At 38.6% G+C, this 18,403-nt stretch overlaps 1 long non-coding RNA gene across 1 annotated transcript in view; it reads right to left on the bottom strand.

Annotated features, from left to right (window-relative positions):
• Positions 1-6,962: 6,962 nt before the first annotated feature.
• Positions 6,963-18,403, bottom strand: part of LOC105375937 (uncharacterized) — a 39,068-nt gene continuing 27,627 nt past the window's right edge. The window contains exons 4-7 of the long non-coding RNA XR_929129.4: positions 17,598-17,862; positions 16,864-17,146; positions 8,074-8,200; positions 6,963-7,321 (exon numbers count right to left, since the gene is read on the bottom strand). This is a non-coding gene — a long non-coding RNA (uncharacterized LOC105375937). The remainder of the gene's footprint in view (positions 7,322-8,073; positions 8,201-16,863; positions 17,147-17,597; positions 17,863-18,403) is intronic.

Here is an 18,403-nt window from a genome sequence, read left to right as displayed (position 1 = left end):
GCACATAAACAAAAACATTTCAAATGAATATTTTTCCCTCTAGTGATAATAATAGTGAATAGCTTTAACAACTAATCTACCTGGATTCAAATCTTGGTGCTGATAGTTACTTGCTATGTTGACCATGGAAAAATCATTAACCTCTTGGTATCTGTTTCCTTAGAGATAGTAATAGTCTGCTTCATAATATTGCTGTACAGATTAAATGTTAAAATTAGAGAAATTAAAATAGTACTTGGCACATAGGAAGCCATTTCATGAGGAATTCAATTCACAGACATTTTCTTTTAATGAAGAAGACAATACACTGACGTTAAAGAAATAAAAGAAATTATATTATTAAAAAGAGTCTATTAAGATTCAAAGGAGGATCACATGCTAACTAATGAAAGACAAGATTGATATCTTACACAATAGATGACTATTCTTTGCAATTTAGCTATAATTAGAATTTTACATATTAGACAAATATTATCCTTGGCTGCACTTCATGCTTCGGAATTATGGTTATTGACCTCTAAAAACAACTACCCATAAATCTCAAAGCATTACCTCTAATAGTTCCTCAAAGTGGCTGATCATAATAATAACTTGAGAGTTAAAACACACACACACACACACACACACACACAGACACACACACACGTTTCCTAGCCTTACCCCTAGAAAGTCTGATTCTTCAGAACTAAAGTGGAACAAGAGTTTGCATTTAGAGTGTTTTATTGATCTTTTTTCCATCTGGGAGTCATTGATTCAAGAGAGTTCTACTCTGGTTAGCTACAATATGCTCCCTTTTTGACCCTGTTTTTCAAGAAATACCAGCAGAAATCAGGCCACAGCTGAGAGATCATGCTGCTCCAAACTCCATCCTGGATTTCCTTGATGTTGTTCCTCTACCCCGTTCAAGGATTTCCCATCAACCACATTTTGCCTCTTTTGCTGGGATTTACTAAATACTGAAGATTTTTAAAATATTTTTAAGAAGTGTATTGGAACCTAATATTTCATTTTGTCAGTAATTAAAACTGTGGTTGAAATTATTGACTAAAAAAACACATTTTTTGGTAAACACTATCTTTTTTCAAACAATTAAAGCAGGAAAATTATTCATTTCCATGAAATAATAAAGATACTACTAACATTACTGAGCATCTACCCTGTCTCAGACACAAGCTGATTTTACTCTTTATAATAACCCTGCAGAGTAGGCATGATTTTACTGTCTTGTTGATTAGGAAATTGACATTCAGTTCAGTTGAGTAACTTGTTCAAGATCCCATGGCCAGTAAAAGGCTGAGCTCAGGTTCCAATCCAGATTTCTGATTCCACATTCACAGCCATTTCCTCCTTCACTGGCCAGTAGGGGCACATCTCCCTTCTGCAGTGAAAATTACATTCAATTAGGTTTTTAAAAAATGTAATGCATTGTCAGCATATAATAACATTTTTGGTAACCTTACTTTTTAATAGGCAATGTCTTTTTTGTTAGAATTACTCCACAGTGCACTGTGAATAGGCTGTGAAAATTGGCAGCACAGGCCAGAGTCTGATTTAGTCAAACATCAATCTACTTGTAAAAGTTCTCAGAAAACAAAAAAATGCCTTTAACACTTTGCCAAGCATGGGGAGGAGGCTGGCTTGAGGGTTACATGTGCTTTCTTCCTACAGTACAGAACAGTCTACTTCACATCTTCAAACATCAGTACATATATTTTTCCTCTTGTTTGATCACTTTGAGTACGCTTGGAAATGCATTTGCTCCATAAGACACATGAAACTGCCAGGTAGCCCTCCAGGTGCCCACAGGTGCCCAAAACGCATCATTTTGGGCTAGGTGCCCTTCTCAGCTTGGTCAATTTGCTGCCAACAGGAAGGGAAACATTCGCATCCTCTGAGTGGGCAGCCACTGCTCCCAACACCTGCTCCAAGACCTTTGTCTTTCTTCATGTAAAGCCTTTTTCCAAAGTTCCTTGGCTGAGCAAGATGAGGAAAATCTCCTCAAAATAGAAGACTGAGCATTTATCACCCACTTTAAAAATCTTGCATGGCTGAGGTGAGCTAGTGACTTGGGGTCATTTTCCAGCTTCATCCCATTTTCATTTACTCATTTATTCACTCATTCATTTATTCAATGCTTTTTAAGGGGCAGCTGTGCGCCATGTGCTCTGTAAGCACTAGGGATGATTAGTTATCCACTGTCCCTCCTCAAGAAGCTGCCCGAGAGATGTTTCATAAAAGGCAGCCTGATAAGTCCAGTGATGGAGGAATGTGCAGGGCACTGTGGGAGGAACAGAAAAGGTTTATCCATCCCAGCAAGAGGAGGTGGGCCGAGGGTGAGGGAAAGCTTCCCGGGGAGGCAACCCCTTAGTTCATTCTGACAGGATGAGTGGGAGGAATCCAACTGGGGTGGGAGACTGGGACTTGCTGAGGGGCATTATGGACAATGAGGACAACATGAGCCTAGACTTTAAGGAGTTCACTCTGTGTGTGTGTGTGTGTGTGTGTGTGTGTTTGCATCTGTATGTGGGAGCTGTGGGGATGCGTGTGGTACAATGTGTGTTGGGGAGGAGCAGAGCTGCAGCAGCTCTGCATGTCTAGGGTGGAGGCTGAGGTAAGAAGCCCCAGCAGATGAGGCTGGAAAGACAGAAGGTGAGGCCACCCTGGTGCTCCAGAGACAGTTAATGAAGTCAGTTCATCGTGTCATCAGGGAGCGGAACAAAAAAGTTAAGAATGAAAGACTACACTCATAGCTGCCTTGTTATGCCTCTGTAGTTACTGATCAGAAATCCTGAGGTGTTCCAAGATCTAACAGCTTCCGAAAGCATGAAAATTAAGACTGACACTCCGGAGGATCCTTGGCAGCTCTTCCTCAAAGGCTTCTCTGGGCTTTCGCTTCTTAAGTGGGGAAGTGAAGAACCAGAATTCTGGAATGATTATTCACGAAGGCTCTGAGGTTGACTGCCTTGGTCTGCATCCTCACTCCAATAGCAAGTTCTATAAGCTGAGGCCAATCACTTAAGTCTCTTTGCCTCAGTTTCCTTGTTTATAAAATAAGAAAGATTATGGTTTTTATCTTTGAGTTGCCCTATTCACAAAATATTCATAAAGAGCTTAGAAGCTTACCTGGCACAAAAGAAGCACTCAGTGAATGTCCACTATTACTGTAATTGTTGCTATGGAAACTCATCTTAAATCTAATACTTTAGGACTCCCCAGTTATCTCAGATATTTACTGCATAATTTTCATTGTAAAAGTTTAGCAAAGGTTTAGAGAAAGAAAAAGATTTGTGGGCTAGAGTGTCATAAACTGCCACATTATAACTATGGAAGCATTTTTTGCCTGTTTTCTTATTGAAAATATAATTTATAATACCAAAGCTCAAGATATGTACATGTAATTTATATAGTTATTTTAGGATTAAATAAAAGGAAGTATGTAAGGATGCTGAAACGCTTGGTATAGGCATCTGGTATACATATTCAATATGAAATAAATAATTACATTCCCCTTTATTCAAACATAAATAGTTACTATTTCCATGAGAGGAGAGAGAATATAAAGAATAGAGCATATGTAACTTTTTGATAAGTCCTGCAAATGTAAGGACAAGAAGACACATGAAATTATAGGTATTTTATCAGAAACAAACAAGGTGGAAATACTTTTACAGCCACCTGTGGAATTGGGGTTATTGATAGCCACAGATATATATTTAATAACAGTGCTTTATGGATATCAGTGACATCCATGAGTGCTTTATGGATATCAGTGACATCAACATCATGCAAGCTGAGTGATGGCAATGACAGTTTAAAAACCTTGGGATGTACACCTGGAGGGTGCAGAAGAAATCTTCCCTCAATACAAAGCAAGAGGATGGAGACTTATAAAACAAACTAAAAACATGGGTGATCAAAAAGGTGTTCTTAGAAATGTTAATACTAACCATGATGCAACAGATATATTAAGAAAAAGTCATCTTGTAAATAGCATAGAATTATGTATTGAGTAGAAACAATGCATATATTTATGTACATGATTAAGCTAAAAGAAGAGCTTTTAAGTGGGATCTAGATAGAAGGAAAAATAATCATGATGAGGCTTCCCCACACTGTCACTGAATGTCCTGTGGGTGACAACAGCTCCCAGCATATGCTGAGAGAGTGGCAACTAATTATTTGCCAAACCTATTCCCATGCCTCAGCCTTCTCTTACATCAGCCACCCCTTCTATTCCATTCCCTCACTGAAAAGTTACTTTCAAGACCCCTGCAATGAAGCAGACTAGGAAAATACTAACTTACTCTCTTACTCATAGAGGCAGCCTCCAGTCCTGCTAGCCACAATAATGGGACACTTTTTTATTTAAATTACCAAACCCATACAGTCAATCAATAAATATCTGGTGTTTTTCCAGAAAGTTTCTAGGGAAACTTCTAGGGAAGTTTCCCAGGGAGCATCTAGGACTCATGGAGATGGCAAAAAAATACATTTCATTGATGATGCCTTCAGTTATAAGGTAAGCAATAATTTTATGTCAACTCAGAAGGGAGAAACACTTCCAACTAACTGATGACACAATGCCATACTGATAGTATGTATGCACGCATGAGTTGGTCATATCAATTTTCATTGTGTTACATTTTTTTCATCTATTAAGAGGTAATTAGCAATTTCTCCTTTTTTCATCACCTTGCCTTGCATATGATAAGCAGTCTTTTTGCCCACATTTTAATAAAAAGTGTAACAAAGCTTCAACCATTTATGGATATCTTTCTTAGGTCATGTAAAGCACTTCATAATTGCTTTGCAAGAAAATATGGAATTGTATTCATCCCTCCAATCACTAACATCTGCTTCATTACTATTACATGTATGCCCCCACTTTTCTATTTCTGCATCTTGCTATGTACAAATCACTTTCATTTCATTATTGGATTATAATATATTCTTTCTATATTCATTTTAAGTGGCAATTAAATTCAACATGTGGAGTATCAACAATGCCTCAACAGATGTGATGATATTGTCGAGAGCTACAACCAAGTTCACCCACGTGCAGGCAATGACAGCTCTGTCACCATGATGATGGTAACAATCCATAAATTATAAGACACATCCTGCTTTCAGAGATGCTAAAATATGGAGGTCTTGGATAAGCTCATCTTAGAGTGGATAAAATGTAATAATAAGCTTGATTCCTGTCTCCCAAATGTCCATACACCATAATTTGTAAATAAGACATAGGCATATAATATGACACCCACAAGTCAGTGACTTGCATAATTTCCAAAAGGCTGTCACAGACAGCAAGTTCTCTAATTTTTCAGTGCAGAAAGAAAATACTTAATATTGATTTAGATTCCTTCCAAAGAAAAGGATGGAGACCCAATTCTCTTTAGTATTTTCATTTCCTGTTGTCCTATTCCTACATGTCAAAATAGTGTACAGTAATATTTTATGCAAGGTAATCTGACACCTCCACCTTAATTCCCAGGCATTAAAGAGGTGTAGAGTGTTATAACACAATCCAGAGTGCAGCAAACATTTACCACACAGGCATTAGTGCAGCAAATAAAGAGGAATGGGGAGTGTGTGTTTTGAAGGTCAAAGTCTCTACACAGACCTCCTGCCAGGCAGGCCCAGGTGCTGTCTCCATTAGAGTTGGCATATATGTGGATCTGTACGTATTTATTCTCAAACCATGTCCCCAACTCAAATATTCTCACCTAGCCTCAAACCACCAATCATTTAAAGAAAGCTCAGCTTAAATCCTCAATAAGAAAAAATGAGGTTTGAGGATTACTGGCCACAGGAGGGTGATCAGGGCACTGGAAGAGAACAGATGGACCATTACTAATGGTATCACCCAGAGGACATTCAGCATCTACCAGGGCAGCCGTGCAACCATCCATCCTCTTCCCATTCAAGCCCTTCAGCCTGCTTCCATAGTAGAAAACATTTAAATCTGTAAACCAAAGGGTATAGTCCTTAAATCTGAGCATAATACCTTTCGTGTATTTTGTGGTTATTTCGAAAGATGTGTAGCCAGCATGTCATGGGTGGAATTGTATCTCCAAAAAGATAGGCAGAAGTCCCACACCCAGTACCTCAGAATGTGAGAATGTGACCTTATTTGGAAATAGTCTCTATAGAGGTAATCAAGTTCAAACGAGGTCATGAGGGTGGCCCTAATCCAATAGCACTGGTGTCATCATAAAAAGGGGAAATTCAAACACAGAGGTGGATACATACAAAGGAAAAATGTTGTGAAGATACAGAAAGAGAATGCCATGTGAGGATAGAAGGTTAGAATGATGGTTCTGCAAACCACAGAAACCCACTGACTGCTGGCAAATCATCAGAGGCTAAGAAGAAGCAAGGAAGGATCCTCTTTTTCAGGTTTCAGAGTAAACATCGCGATGACAACACCTTGACTCATGACTTTGAGTTTACAGAATTATGAAACAATAAATTTCTATTGTTTTAAGCCACCCAGTTTATGGTACTTCCCTCTCGCAGCCCTCCCTGGGACATGAATACAGCATGATACAATCTTTTTTTTTTTTTTTTTTTTTTTTGTGAGGCAGAGTCTTGCTCTGTTGCCCAGTCTGGAGTGCCCTGGTGCAATCTCAGTTCATTGCAACCTCCACCTCCTGGGTTCAAGCAATTCTCTTGCCTCAGCCTCCAGAGTAGCTGGGATTACAGGGGCACGCCACCATGCCTGACTAATTTTTTTTTGTATTTTTTAGTAGAGATGGGGTTTCGCCATGTTGTCCAGGCTGGTCTCAAACTCTTGGCCTCAAGTGATCCGCCCGCCTTGGCCTCCCAAAGTGCTGGGATTAGAGGCATGAGCCACCACCCCTAGCAATACAATCTTTTACTTAGTGGGTTCCTAAGAATGATAAAATGTCAACACTTCATCTTTTGTTCAAAATATTTTTAAACATAGAGGAAAAGTGTGGAGAAGAGGAGCCAAAATACATCTATTTATTTGTTACAAGCTACCAGAGTCCAATGAATGCAGTAGATAGCAACATTTTTGCCCGTGCTGTTTCCAATAGCTACCATAGGAAGTGCTGATGTAAATTTGGCTAAGTGGCTGTTTCTCACTGGAATGTGATTAAAACAAAAGCAATGCTAGACCACACCAAGGATTTCAGGCAAGATGCCAGCTTTTCCAAGGGAGAAAGTTGAAAAGTACTTCAGTGGTTCAGAAACTGTTACAAACCAAACACGTCACTGTTGCTGTGAAAAGGAAAGGTCATAAGCATGTTGTTCCAGTGTTGAGGAATTGTGGATGTAGCTGCAAGTTGGTTCCCTGGGAATAAAAGATTTTTTAAATTGAAAAGCTTGTGACTGAAACCTAACACCCAATACCAAAAGCTAATGGATTTATTGTTAGGGTATCCATATCCTATTATCTACTTGAGCATTTTCTAGACTCTAATAGCAACCCAAAATTCATTAAACCTTTCTATAATTCAAAGAAACACAAAGTCTGAGATATACAGGTTTCAAATCACAATCAAGGTATGCTATAACTTAAAACACTCTCAAAATATGAAGTTTCACCTTAATCCAAAAGATGTCAATTTTTCCAGAAAATGTAGCAAGATCTACAGATTTATATACTCTGTTTTTTGATAATACCAAAGATGAAATATACAGTAGGTTTTTTTAAAGAAAAATGTTATCATTCAAATATTTGTTAAGATGACATTTTAATCAAGTATCTTGAGAAATATACCAAAATCAGATTTTATTAACAGATATTTCAAAGTAGAAATGTATTTCATTATTACAGAATTACCCAGCATGGGGACACTATAAATTCTCTTTAGAAGATAAAACGTTATTCAAGTTTTTACATATCTAAAATAGTATAAGGAATAGTTCTCTATAGGTTTAATAAGATGCTAAATAAAACTTAGTTTGTGTTTTAATACTGATTAAAAAGAAAATGGTAGATTGTCTATAACTGTCTCAATTCAGAACACTTCTTTCATTTGTTTCATTGGGATTTGTCACTATTTTGGAAGTGAAAACTTTCACTTTCCGTTTTTTCCCTACCTGAAACTCTCCTGGACTTCTTTTGGTCATTACATTCAAGCCCAAATTGTTTATTCATTCACCATTTCTGTCTTCACTCTACAAACTCTTTATGTCATCAAAGCCATGTAGGAGTCTTTAGGTATGACTAAAAGGAAGACGAAAAATTAGTAATTTTTAACAGGTAGTAAGTAGTCTTCTTTATATAAAATTCCAAAATTTTCCTCTTATCCCAAACAGCTTTTCTTCTATGTCTTATAGAGCAACTGAGGCAATGAGTTACTGCTCAGCCCTGTGTTTTCTTGGAGTCCTAATAAAGATCACAGCGATGCGGAGGAATGTGGTGTCATGGCTCTTGCTTTTTTCTTAGGAGCTAGCTTGTGGGTCCTCCTTCTGTGCTAAATAACTTTCAATGATTATTGCAAGGGCTGTGCACAAGTTTGGATACCACATGAAATCAATTTGTTAATTTTCACTTGTTTCCCAAAGAATAATTAATCTCTGTGATAGAACCAACTTAACACTTCCATTTTGAGGGTCCGTTACCTGAACCATGTCAATACAGAGATTATTTTCAAAGTTACTGAGTCAGTTTTTTAAGGGCCACTGGATAGGTTTTAATCATGACTTTTAAAGTCAATTAATTACAAGTAACTCAGATGTGTTCCGTTCTGAGACTGTTTCCACACGTTTGTTAAAATTGATTCCCCTTTGGGGTCAGGTTGTACTTGCTTTGTTCCTGCTGAAATCAACATTTTGGACTCAATGAGTTTTCTTGAGTCCTATTATTTTCAGAAACTTTGCTATGGAAGAATTACTTTCTCTAACACTCAGAGTTGACATTCCATGAGACTGAGTATAACACATCCCGTACCTTCATCTACCCAAGTCAGGATTTACGCTGGGATCTGAAACTCATACCGTCGCTCAGTTCAAAATATTGCTTTTCCCCAGAAGAATATTTAGGAGTCATGGAGTCAGAAGAGATTAGCACAAGGGAGGCAGAGGATGATGGCAGTGTGGTTCTAAGAGGAATCTCAAAGGGCTCCTTCTCTAAAGGTCTCAAGTTTTACACCAATGATTGCCTGAACATGTGGGTAGAGTTGATTAAAAACTGGAATGAAAAGTATGTTATTCTTAAGGAACCAGGAGACCCAAGTTACATCTGGTAGGGCCTGGATACCATTTATATTCAGGAATAGAACAGCAACTATTTTTAGATGTAATTATTCATAATAATAAAAGGTAGCCTTATTATGCTCTTCACAGATGATACTCATGCTTCTTTAGTTCAACCAAATCTAAAATGCATATATTATCACTTCGTATTCAATGTCATTGGTTTTTCCTCATGTTTAGTTACTGTATTGCAATTACATTGCTTTATTATCCCTTTCATTTTAGATGAACAATTCCACAACCATATTAAAGACGTAATAATCTTTTCCTTGTTATTTTGAAAAACCAAGTATACAATTTCTGTTAGAATGTGCATTGTAATTTCAAATAAAAGATTTTAAAACAAAATTTTGCAGTATATCCATTTATGAACTGGGTCCTGATGGTCCTAACAGCTGAGTCCAAGAGAACTGCCAGAAGGGGAGAGTCAGTAGGGAAGGATGTGGGGGACCACAGAGATGAACTTCTTTTTATAGGGAGATACATTTAAAGAGGGTAGTAATTAGACTGGGTACGGTGGCTCACGCCTGTAATCCCAGGACTTTGGGAGGCCAAGGCAGGCGGATCACACGAGGTTAGGAATTCAAGACCAGCTTGACTAACATGGAGAAACCCCCACCTCTACTAAAAATACAAAAAATTAGCTGGGCATGGTGGCGCATGCCTGTAATCCCAGCCACTCAGGAGGCTGAGGTAGGAGAATCTCTTGAACCTGGGAAGCGGAGGTTGTGGTGAGCCAAGATTGTGCCCTTGCACACTCCAGCTTGGGCATCAAGAGCGAAACTCCGTCTCAAAAAAAAAAAAAAAAAAAGCAGGTAGTAATCGGTGAGGGAGTTTGGGGTTAGTGCTGATAAAGGGAAATTTATTGTGTTGAAGGAGAGCCATAGATTAAATATGTGTTGTCAGTGAATTCTGAAGAACATATTTCTCAGCAAGACATTGAGAAAAACAAACTAGATAAAGAGACTGTAGAATGTTTATATTCTTCTGACCAACCAAAGTAAGGCAGGCCAAGTTTATGGTTGGAATTACTCCAAATGGAGAGAGGTTCCAGCTACATTCAAAGCACTGGCACCTCTCCCAGTTGCTCTAGTGATTGACCCCCTCCTAACCTTAATGATTTTATAATATAAGGTAACATGCAAGCAAAATAAGTCTTACATAGGAGTAAGGTCTGCGGAGGAAAGTGTATGGGTGAAGGATGAGATCGTGAGGGAAGACACTTAGGTGAACTACATGGAATACTGTCACCCTGAGTGCTACAGCTTCTCACGTTTTAATGCACACACACATCACCTGGAGGTCTGGTTGAAATGCATATTCTGGCTTAGTAAGTCTAGGGTGGAGCCTGGGACTCTTGCATTTCTAAAAGACTGCTGCTGATCCATAGGTCACATACCCTAGACGTCTTGCCTCTCCCTCTGACATCAGTGTCAATAAATTATTCATTCCTGAATCCATCTCAACTGTTCTACTGTGTAGAATTGGTGTCCAGTAGGAAGTCCTGGAAGTGGGAAACTGGGAATCTTTCTCCCTGGGACTTTTGTGAACTGGCTTGACTGTTAGCTGTGGCCACTTGCTGTCTTCGCCAGTTCCTTGGCTTTTGCTATCATCAAACTCATCCAAACGGGTTAGGAAAAGTAGAAGCAGGCCCCAAAGGGGATATTATTTATTAAGTAAAAAATAATTTTGCTTGGATGAACAAGACATACAATATGATGTTGCTAAGAGTGCAAAGATTTATCAGGGCCTCCAAGTCCTAAGAAACTTTTGGTTTAGTACAGAGGTTCTCATCCTCTGGGGAAAGGGAAGCTTCTATCTTTATGTCACTAGCCATTAACTGAGATGTACTACTTCTTTCCAGTATGAAAGTATGTATCACCATGATATTAGAAGAATCTACAACTCCATCATTAATGGAAATCTCAGATATTTTTATATTACATTATTGTTGCAAATGTCTCTCTCTCTCTATATGTATATATAGAGAAAGACTAATGACAATTCCATCACTGTTTTGGAATTGCAGTCATTATTATACTGACATCAGGGTTCACATGATTCTAGTCTTTCTGCCCACAAATGTTATTGTAATATAAGTTGGCCAACTATTGGGCAGTTTTGAAATTCATTTTGATCAGCCACCTGACAGTGAAGTCATGTGTAATACCTTGGTGACCTCAGCATCCACATTTCTTTCCCCATCTACAATTTCGTATTAGTCAGTATGTGGAAAGAGATGGGTCAAGGACCACTCCACAGTTTAATAATCTTACTTTAGCTAAGCTACAGTAGCTGATGTTTTAAAAAATAAAACTAACTTGCTGACACTTTAAATGTCGTCTTTTTCTTCAATGTGTTAACAAAAACATATGTATACTACTATAACACAAATTTGTTTTTTAATGTTTTGATAACTGTATTTCACTATTTTAAATAATTTCTTTTATAATCCCATGCATTATATTTCATGCATTAAAAAATTACTTTGAGAAGGGGGCTGTAGGCTTATTGACTGCAAAAGGTGTCTATGGCCCAGAAAAATGTTCAGAACCCTTGATCTGGTAGAATAATGCCCATTTGAATAGTTCATTACCATAAAAAATACTTTTTTCATAGAGGTAAGCTAGTGACTAGAGCTACTCCAAGGTACTGGGCAGCTCTTTTGTTAAAAATTCTGCAAGAGGCCAGGCTCAGTGGCTCACCACGCCTGTAATCCCAGCACTCTGGGAGGCCGAGGTGGGTGGATCACGAGGTCAGGAGTTCGAGACCCGCCTCTATTAAAAATACAAAAATTAGCTGGGCACATGCCTGTAATCCCAGCTACTTGGGAGGCTGACGCTGGAGAATTGCTTGAACCTGGGAGGTAGAGGTTGCAGAGAGCCAAGATAGCACCACTGCACTCCAGCCTGGGTGACAAGAGTGAGATTCTGTCTCAAAAAAAAAAAAATCCACAGGAAACAGACACTGAGACATTAAGTTCTTGCCCATAATGTGGTGTAGAGTTATCCAGGGAGAAACTGGTTCTGTCTCCAAGGATCTAGTTCCCTCATTTTTTTTTTTTTTTTTTTTTTGAGACAGAGTCACTGTGTCACCCAGGCTGGAGTGCAGTCGTGCAATCTCTGCTCACTGCAACCTCTGCCTCCCAAGTTCAAGTGATTCTCCTGCCTCAGCCTCTTCAGTAGCTAGGATTACAGGCACATGCCGCCACACCCAGCTAATTGTTTGTATTTTTAGTAGACACAGGATTTCACCATGTTGGCCAGGCTGGTCTTGAACTCCTGACCTCAAGTGATCTGCCCACCTCGGCCTCCCAAAGTGGTGGGATTACAGGCATAAGCCAATGCACCCAGCCTCATTCATTTATTTATTTTTGGCTGGTCATGTGGCTAATGCCTATAGTCCTAGCACTTTGGGAGGCCGAGGCAGGCCGATTGCTTGAGCCTAGGAGTTTGAGACTAGCCTGAGCAACATGGCAAAACCCCATCTCTATAAAAATACAGAGAGAGAGAGAGAGAGAGAGAGAGAGAGAGAGAAAGAAAGAAGGAAGGAAGGAGGAAAGAAAAGAAAGAAAGAAAGAAAGAGAGAAAGAAAGAAAGAAAGAAAGAAAGAAAGAAAGAAAGAAAGAAAGAAAGAAAGAGAAAGAGAGAGAGAGAAAGAAAGAAAGAGAGAAAGAAAGAATTAGCCAGGTATAATGGTGCATGTCTATGGTCCCAGCTACTTGGGAAGCTGAGGTGGGAGGATCACTTCAGCCCAGGAGGTCGAGGCTGCAGTGAACGAAGATCAAGCCACTGCACTCCAGCCTGGGCAACGGTGTGAGACCCTGTCTCAAAAAACCAAAACAAACAAAACAAAGGTTTCTTAGTTCCTACCTACCACATGCCAGGAACAATTCTACCTGTTGGGGATAATAACAATAACAAAACAAAAAGACAAACAAAAATGCTATCTCCTGAAGCTTATATTCTAATGGGTCATCTTTCCTCCACTGCAGATACCTCAGATAAAGAAACCACACTTAAGAAAAACAGTGAGAAGGCAGGAGATAGAGACACAAACTTCAGCTAACAACCAAATAAGCAATACTCTTTTTGAGACAGCAAGAGACTATAATTTACTGCTTTCTTCATCCAAAGTGTCTTGTATTTTAAAAAGTTTCACTTTGGTCCTTTCAAAATAATTTATAATTATTTAAAATGAATAAGCAGAACACTAGAGTCAGGATATTTTCATGAGTTTTAGGTTTCTAGGGCATAATAATTGCAATAAATTTATCTGAGAGAATTTGATATTTATACTACTTGAAATTGTATTTTCCACTGGCACCTTTTTCTGAAATATTCCAGTGGCCACATAAATAATCTTTGCAACCTTCGCCTTAAAAACTCCCAGGCCAAGTTGTTTGAAGTGATGATGTGTAACCCGGAACTTTGGGGACTTAGTCACTAGTGACCTACACACTGGAGCAGCAGGAGAAGTGTTTTCTGAGGAATATCTTGTCCCGGCATCTAGGCAGTACCTTCGCCTACCTTTCTGCTACTGCAGGGTGGCCATTCCTTTCAGGCATGTGTCTTAGTAACAGACTTTACCCCTACCCTCTGTTTCTTCCATATCTGCACTGCAGGTTCTTGGCAGAAATGACAACTTCAACCATTTGTTGTATAACTTCTCAATAATAGCCTCATTATGAGAACTAGTAAATGTGTAGAAATGCTTGAAGAACATATTCAATTCTCCAGTTATTCTAAATGTTTTCTTCGGACCAAAACAGAAAATGAAAATAAAAACAACCGTTCTTTGAACACTTATTCCATATCACTGGCTAAGACATTTACTTAATGGTGTGCTAATAACAATGCCATGTGTAGCTATTAATTATCTTTATTTTGCAGATAAGGCACGGCGAAGTGATCTGCCTGAGGTTGTACAGCTAGTAAATGGACTACTATTCATATCAGTCTGTCTAATCCTAAAGAGAGTTACCTTTATCGCAGTAAAAGGTTCCACATTAGAGTACTACATGCTTAAATTATGTTGCTTCAGACCTTTATGAATTATTTTTACTTAAATACGGGTTAGCCTTCCTTTACCAGATGTCATTGCGAAGTGCTCCAATACATATCCACACAAACTGGCAATGTTGATGATTATTGTTGCATAAATGAGGACACATCAGAAAATATTCCCGAGGGTATTGATCAAATAAGTTTAAGATAATTCTGAATAACTTTTTTTTTAATCTTAAGGATACTGAATGTCATGTAACTGATCATGTTTTCTTCTTTACTTTGGCTACCAGGATGCACAAAGACAATTGATGCCAATCTCTAGCAACTGTACATATGCATTTCAAAATGTCAATTTTACCATAGATATATTATTTTTCTACTCACACTTTTCCTTTATCCTAGTTCTCTCACTTATTTATTTTAGGTATTTTTTATTGCATGTATTTTTAAGCCTGCTCAAATCCTTGGTGAAAATAGGCATAGTAGATTAAGTAAATAAATGCAGCATATTCAAAGTGATTCTAATTACTGTATTAGTCAAGAATTTATGAAGTGCTTACTATATTACCAAAATTATTCTAGGCACTGCATTTATATTGAAACCTAAAAAAAAAAGCCTATATATTATTCTGAGGTTTAAAATATAACTTCTACTTCTTATTTTACTAGCCAAGCAAATGTCTGGACAAAAATAAAAAACATGGACTAATAAAAACTTCCTAATTCTGGTATTCTGCTTTCCTGTACTATAATGTATAATGACCTTTTAATTTTTTTTTTTTTTTTGACAGTTTCGCTCTGTCACCCAGGCTGGAGTGCGGTGGCACAATCTTGGCTCACTGCAACCTACACCTCCCAGGCTCAAGTGATTCTCCTTCCTCCCGAGTAGCTGGGATCACAGGCGCCCACCACCACACCCTGCTAATTTTTTGTTTTTAGTAGGGATGGAGCTTCACCATGTTGGCCAGGCTGGTCTTGAACTCCTGGCCTCAAGTGATCCACCTGCCTCAGCCTCTCAAAGTTTTGGGATTACAGGTGTGAGCCACTGTGCCTAGCCTTAATACGTACTTCTTTTTTTAACTATATTGAATATTATCAGCCTGAGCAGTGTAATGGATAAGGCATGCAGATCAATTACAACCAAAACATATTCATGAATGAAGCTACAGTAGAGGAAAGCAAAAATAGAGTTTCTTTGACATCTTAACAACCATTAATTAATACTCAAAACTACTTTTTCTCAGCTAGATAATGTTCTTGCACCTCTAGGCTGAGAAGAGCAATGCATTACGCTTTATAAAACCTTTTCCATGAGATGAAAATGAAATGCAATAGCAGAACCCAGATGTAAGCCAGAGTTGCCTGTTATGACTACTAATCTTATTTTACAGAGAAAAGAAGAAATAAACTAAGAAAATTAGTCAAGATTACCCAAAACAGACATGTGTAATTCAGTTTTGTTATCCTTAAAGTTTATCTCACTGAGTGTTCTGACCACCTTTGAAAAAGTGAATTAATTATTAAGCAATTTCCATAAGGCTACTTGGTCAGCTTTTTCCTCCCACCTCAAGAGCAATAATGCACACAAACGTGTCACAGAGTGGGAGGCAATTAAACCTTCAAATGATTTCAATTATTGACAATACTTCAGTTAAATTAGGGGTTTAGGATTTCTTTCCCTGGCTATCTTTTATTTCCTAGAAAAGTGAGAAAATAGATGTTTTAAAAGTCTTGACCATTTACTTATAAAACACATATTTTAATGTTTTTTCAATACAGTAACTATTATCCACTCTTCTTTTATGAATAGAAACTTCTCTAATTAATGGACTTAGTGATTTTTCATAGTTATTTCCAGAGAAGATTGCTACTTAATTCTGTCAAGACAAAACAAAGTTCCTAAAAGGTCTTGAGAAAAGACAATGAAAATAATAAGCTAATATTATAATTATTGACCTCTAGACATATCTTCAATAATTGTTGAAATGTTCTGACTTTATCTATGGTAGCCTGGTAAAATGACTTTAGAATTAGATAAAATGCATTTTTATTTTAAGAACAAAACTGAGATATACTTAGGAACTCAATTAAAAAATCTTTTTCTGATGTGCAGAATTCTGTGTCAAAGTTATCAAATGTTAAATAATGATCCACTCAAGGTAGGGTTTACCTTTGAAACAAAAACATTTCTGTAGATTCATTTGGGCAACTCTTTATGATTAGTGTTACTGACAAATGAAAATTTAAAACAGTTTTTTGTTTGTTTGTTTTTGTTTCTTTTTTCATTTTTTTGAGACAGAATCTAGCTCTGTCCCCCAGGCTGGAGTGCAGTGGCCCAGGCTGGAGTGCAATGGTACGATCTCAGCTCACTGCCACCTCCACCTCCCGGACTCAAGTGATCCCACCTCAGCCTCCCAAGTAGCTTGGACTGCAGGCGTCTGCGACCATGCCCGACTAATTTTTGTATTTTTTGTAGAGACAGGGTTTCGCCATATTGCCTAGTTGGTCTGAAACTCCTGGGCTCAAGCGCTCCTCCCTCTTCGGCCTCCTAAAGTGCTGAGATTACAGGCTTAAGCCACCCAACCTGGCCTAAAACAGGATTTTAATCACAGTTAAAACATACGCTGTTTGAGTTGTTTTCTGTTGTGGGTCTCTGACAACGTTTCCAAACTCGCTTGAACAGTAACAAGAGGTTGATTGGCCCCAATAACTGAGGTCTGCCGGTGCTGGGGCTTCAGCGTTTCCATGCCACTTTCTCGTGTTCCTTCAGCTGTGTCCTCTGCTGGGTTTTGACTTTGTCTTTAGATGGAACTCCCATCATGGAGACAAGATGGCTCTGATGTTCCAGACATAATATTCGTGGACCACAACATCCAGGAAGAGATCATTTCTTTGAGTAGCTTTCTCTAAAGAGAAACAAGGGCCTCCGTGACCAAAGCTCACATCTCATGAGTTTGAACTGAGTCACTTACCCATGGGGCGGGGCTGCCCTGACAGGCGTGACCCAATCACAGCTCCCCACAGGGCGTGACGAGGGGCGACGCCCACCCAGACCACAGGCTGCCACGCGGGCCGAGTCAGGTTGGATGCCAAGCAGACAACTGCAGGGACCACTCCAGTCCCTAAACTTCTTTCTGCCTTTTTTCGTTCTACTGTATTTAAGGGTGGTGAGGGTTGGGGGCTATAACATGAAACCCAAGCATACCAAGAGAAGCTAAAAATAATTCTCATAGAGAGAAGCCTAGACATCATGTGAGTCCTGACTTTCCACTTGTGACATTTTGCCAAAGACCCAAACACCGAAATTTACTTAATTCTAGATCAAAGTAAATGTGACTTTTCATAGTATTTTCTCACCGTTCTTAAGAGAAACGTTACTGGCAAGACTTTACTGCAACTGGCTCCCGGGCTTCCTCTGATTTGGGAAAAAGCAGCAGGCATGAGGATTCCCATCTCCTTAACAACTTCCTGGGAAAGGCTGCTGCTCGGTGACATCTCGGTGTGAGAGTCCAACGGCAAAGAAGCTACTAAGTGAGCCAGAGCCCAGAGTTAGGTGATATGTCCTTGTCATGAGCACAGAGACAAAGAGGCCTGCTGAGCCAGCAACTCCTCGTGAACAGCACTGGAAAATAGAAAGAATAGACATGTTGAAGAATGTATCTAAACAAATCTGTAAATGAGTCCACAGAGGCAAATCATTTCTGAAATAAAAACAATCAACCGTGCCACTAAACTTTATCACTGAATTTTATGTATCTTAGCGACTGTTACAAAAGAGAACAGCAGTATCTAGGCATCTACTGAAGGATTCTAGTACCTCTCTTGTAAAGAAAAAGATATTGTATTCTAACCAAAATAATAAATAAATTAAGGAATTTGTCCATAGGAGTACGCATTACCTATTCATGTGACAAGTTGTCATTTAAAACAATAGAATTCACAGTGTTTTCTATTTTGATTCTTTCATTTTTAAGTCTCTTAAAATTGAGTTACTAATAAATTCTGTCAGCTTCACAAAAAACACATCACACCCAATTAATGAAATTCCTGTCAGTGGCCAAGCAGCAGATCTGTTAGTGCCTAGAGGAAGCCAGAGAAGTGATCCATCTTGATTTAGGCAAACCGTTAGACTGTCCCATTTGGCATGTACTGGAATAATCTAG

The sequence above is a fragment of the Homo sapiens genome, chromosome 8 (genome assembly GCF_000001405.40).
Source record: "Homo sapiens chromosome 8, GRCh38.p14 Primary Assembly".
NCBI lineage: Eukaryota > Metazoa > Chordata > Mammalia > Primates > Hominidae > Homo > Homo sapiens.
Note: the sequence above shows the minus strand (reverse complement) of the source record. Positions and strands in the feature narration are given on the sequence as shown.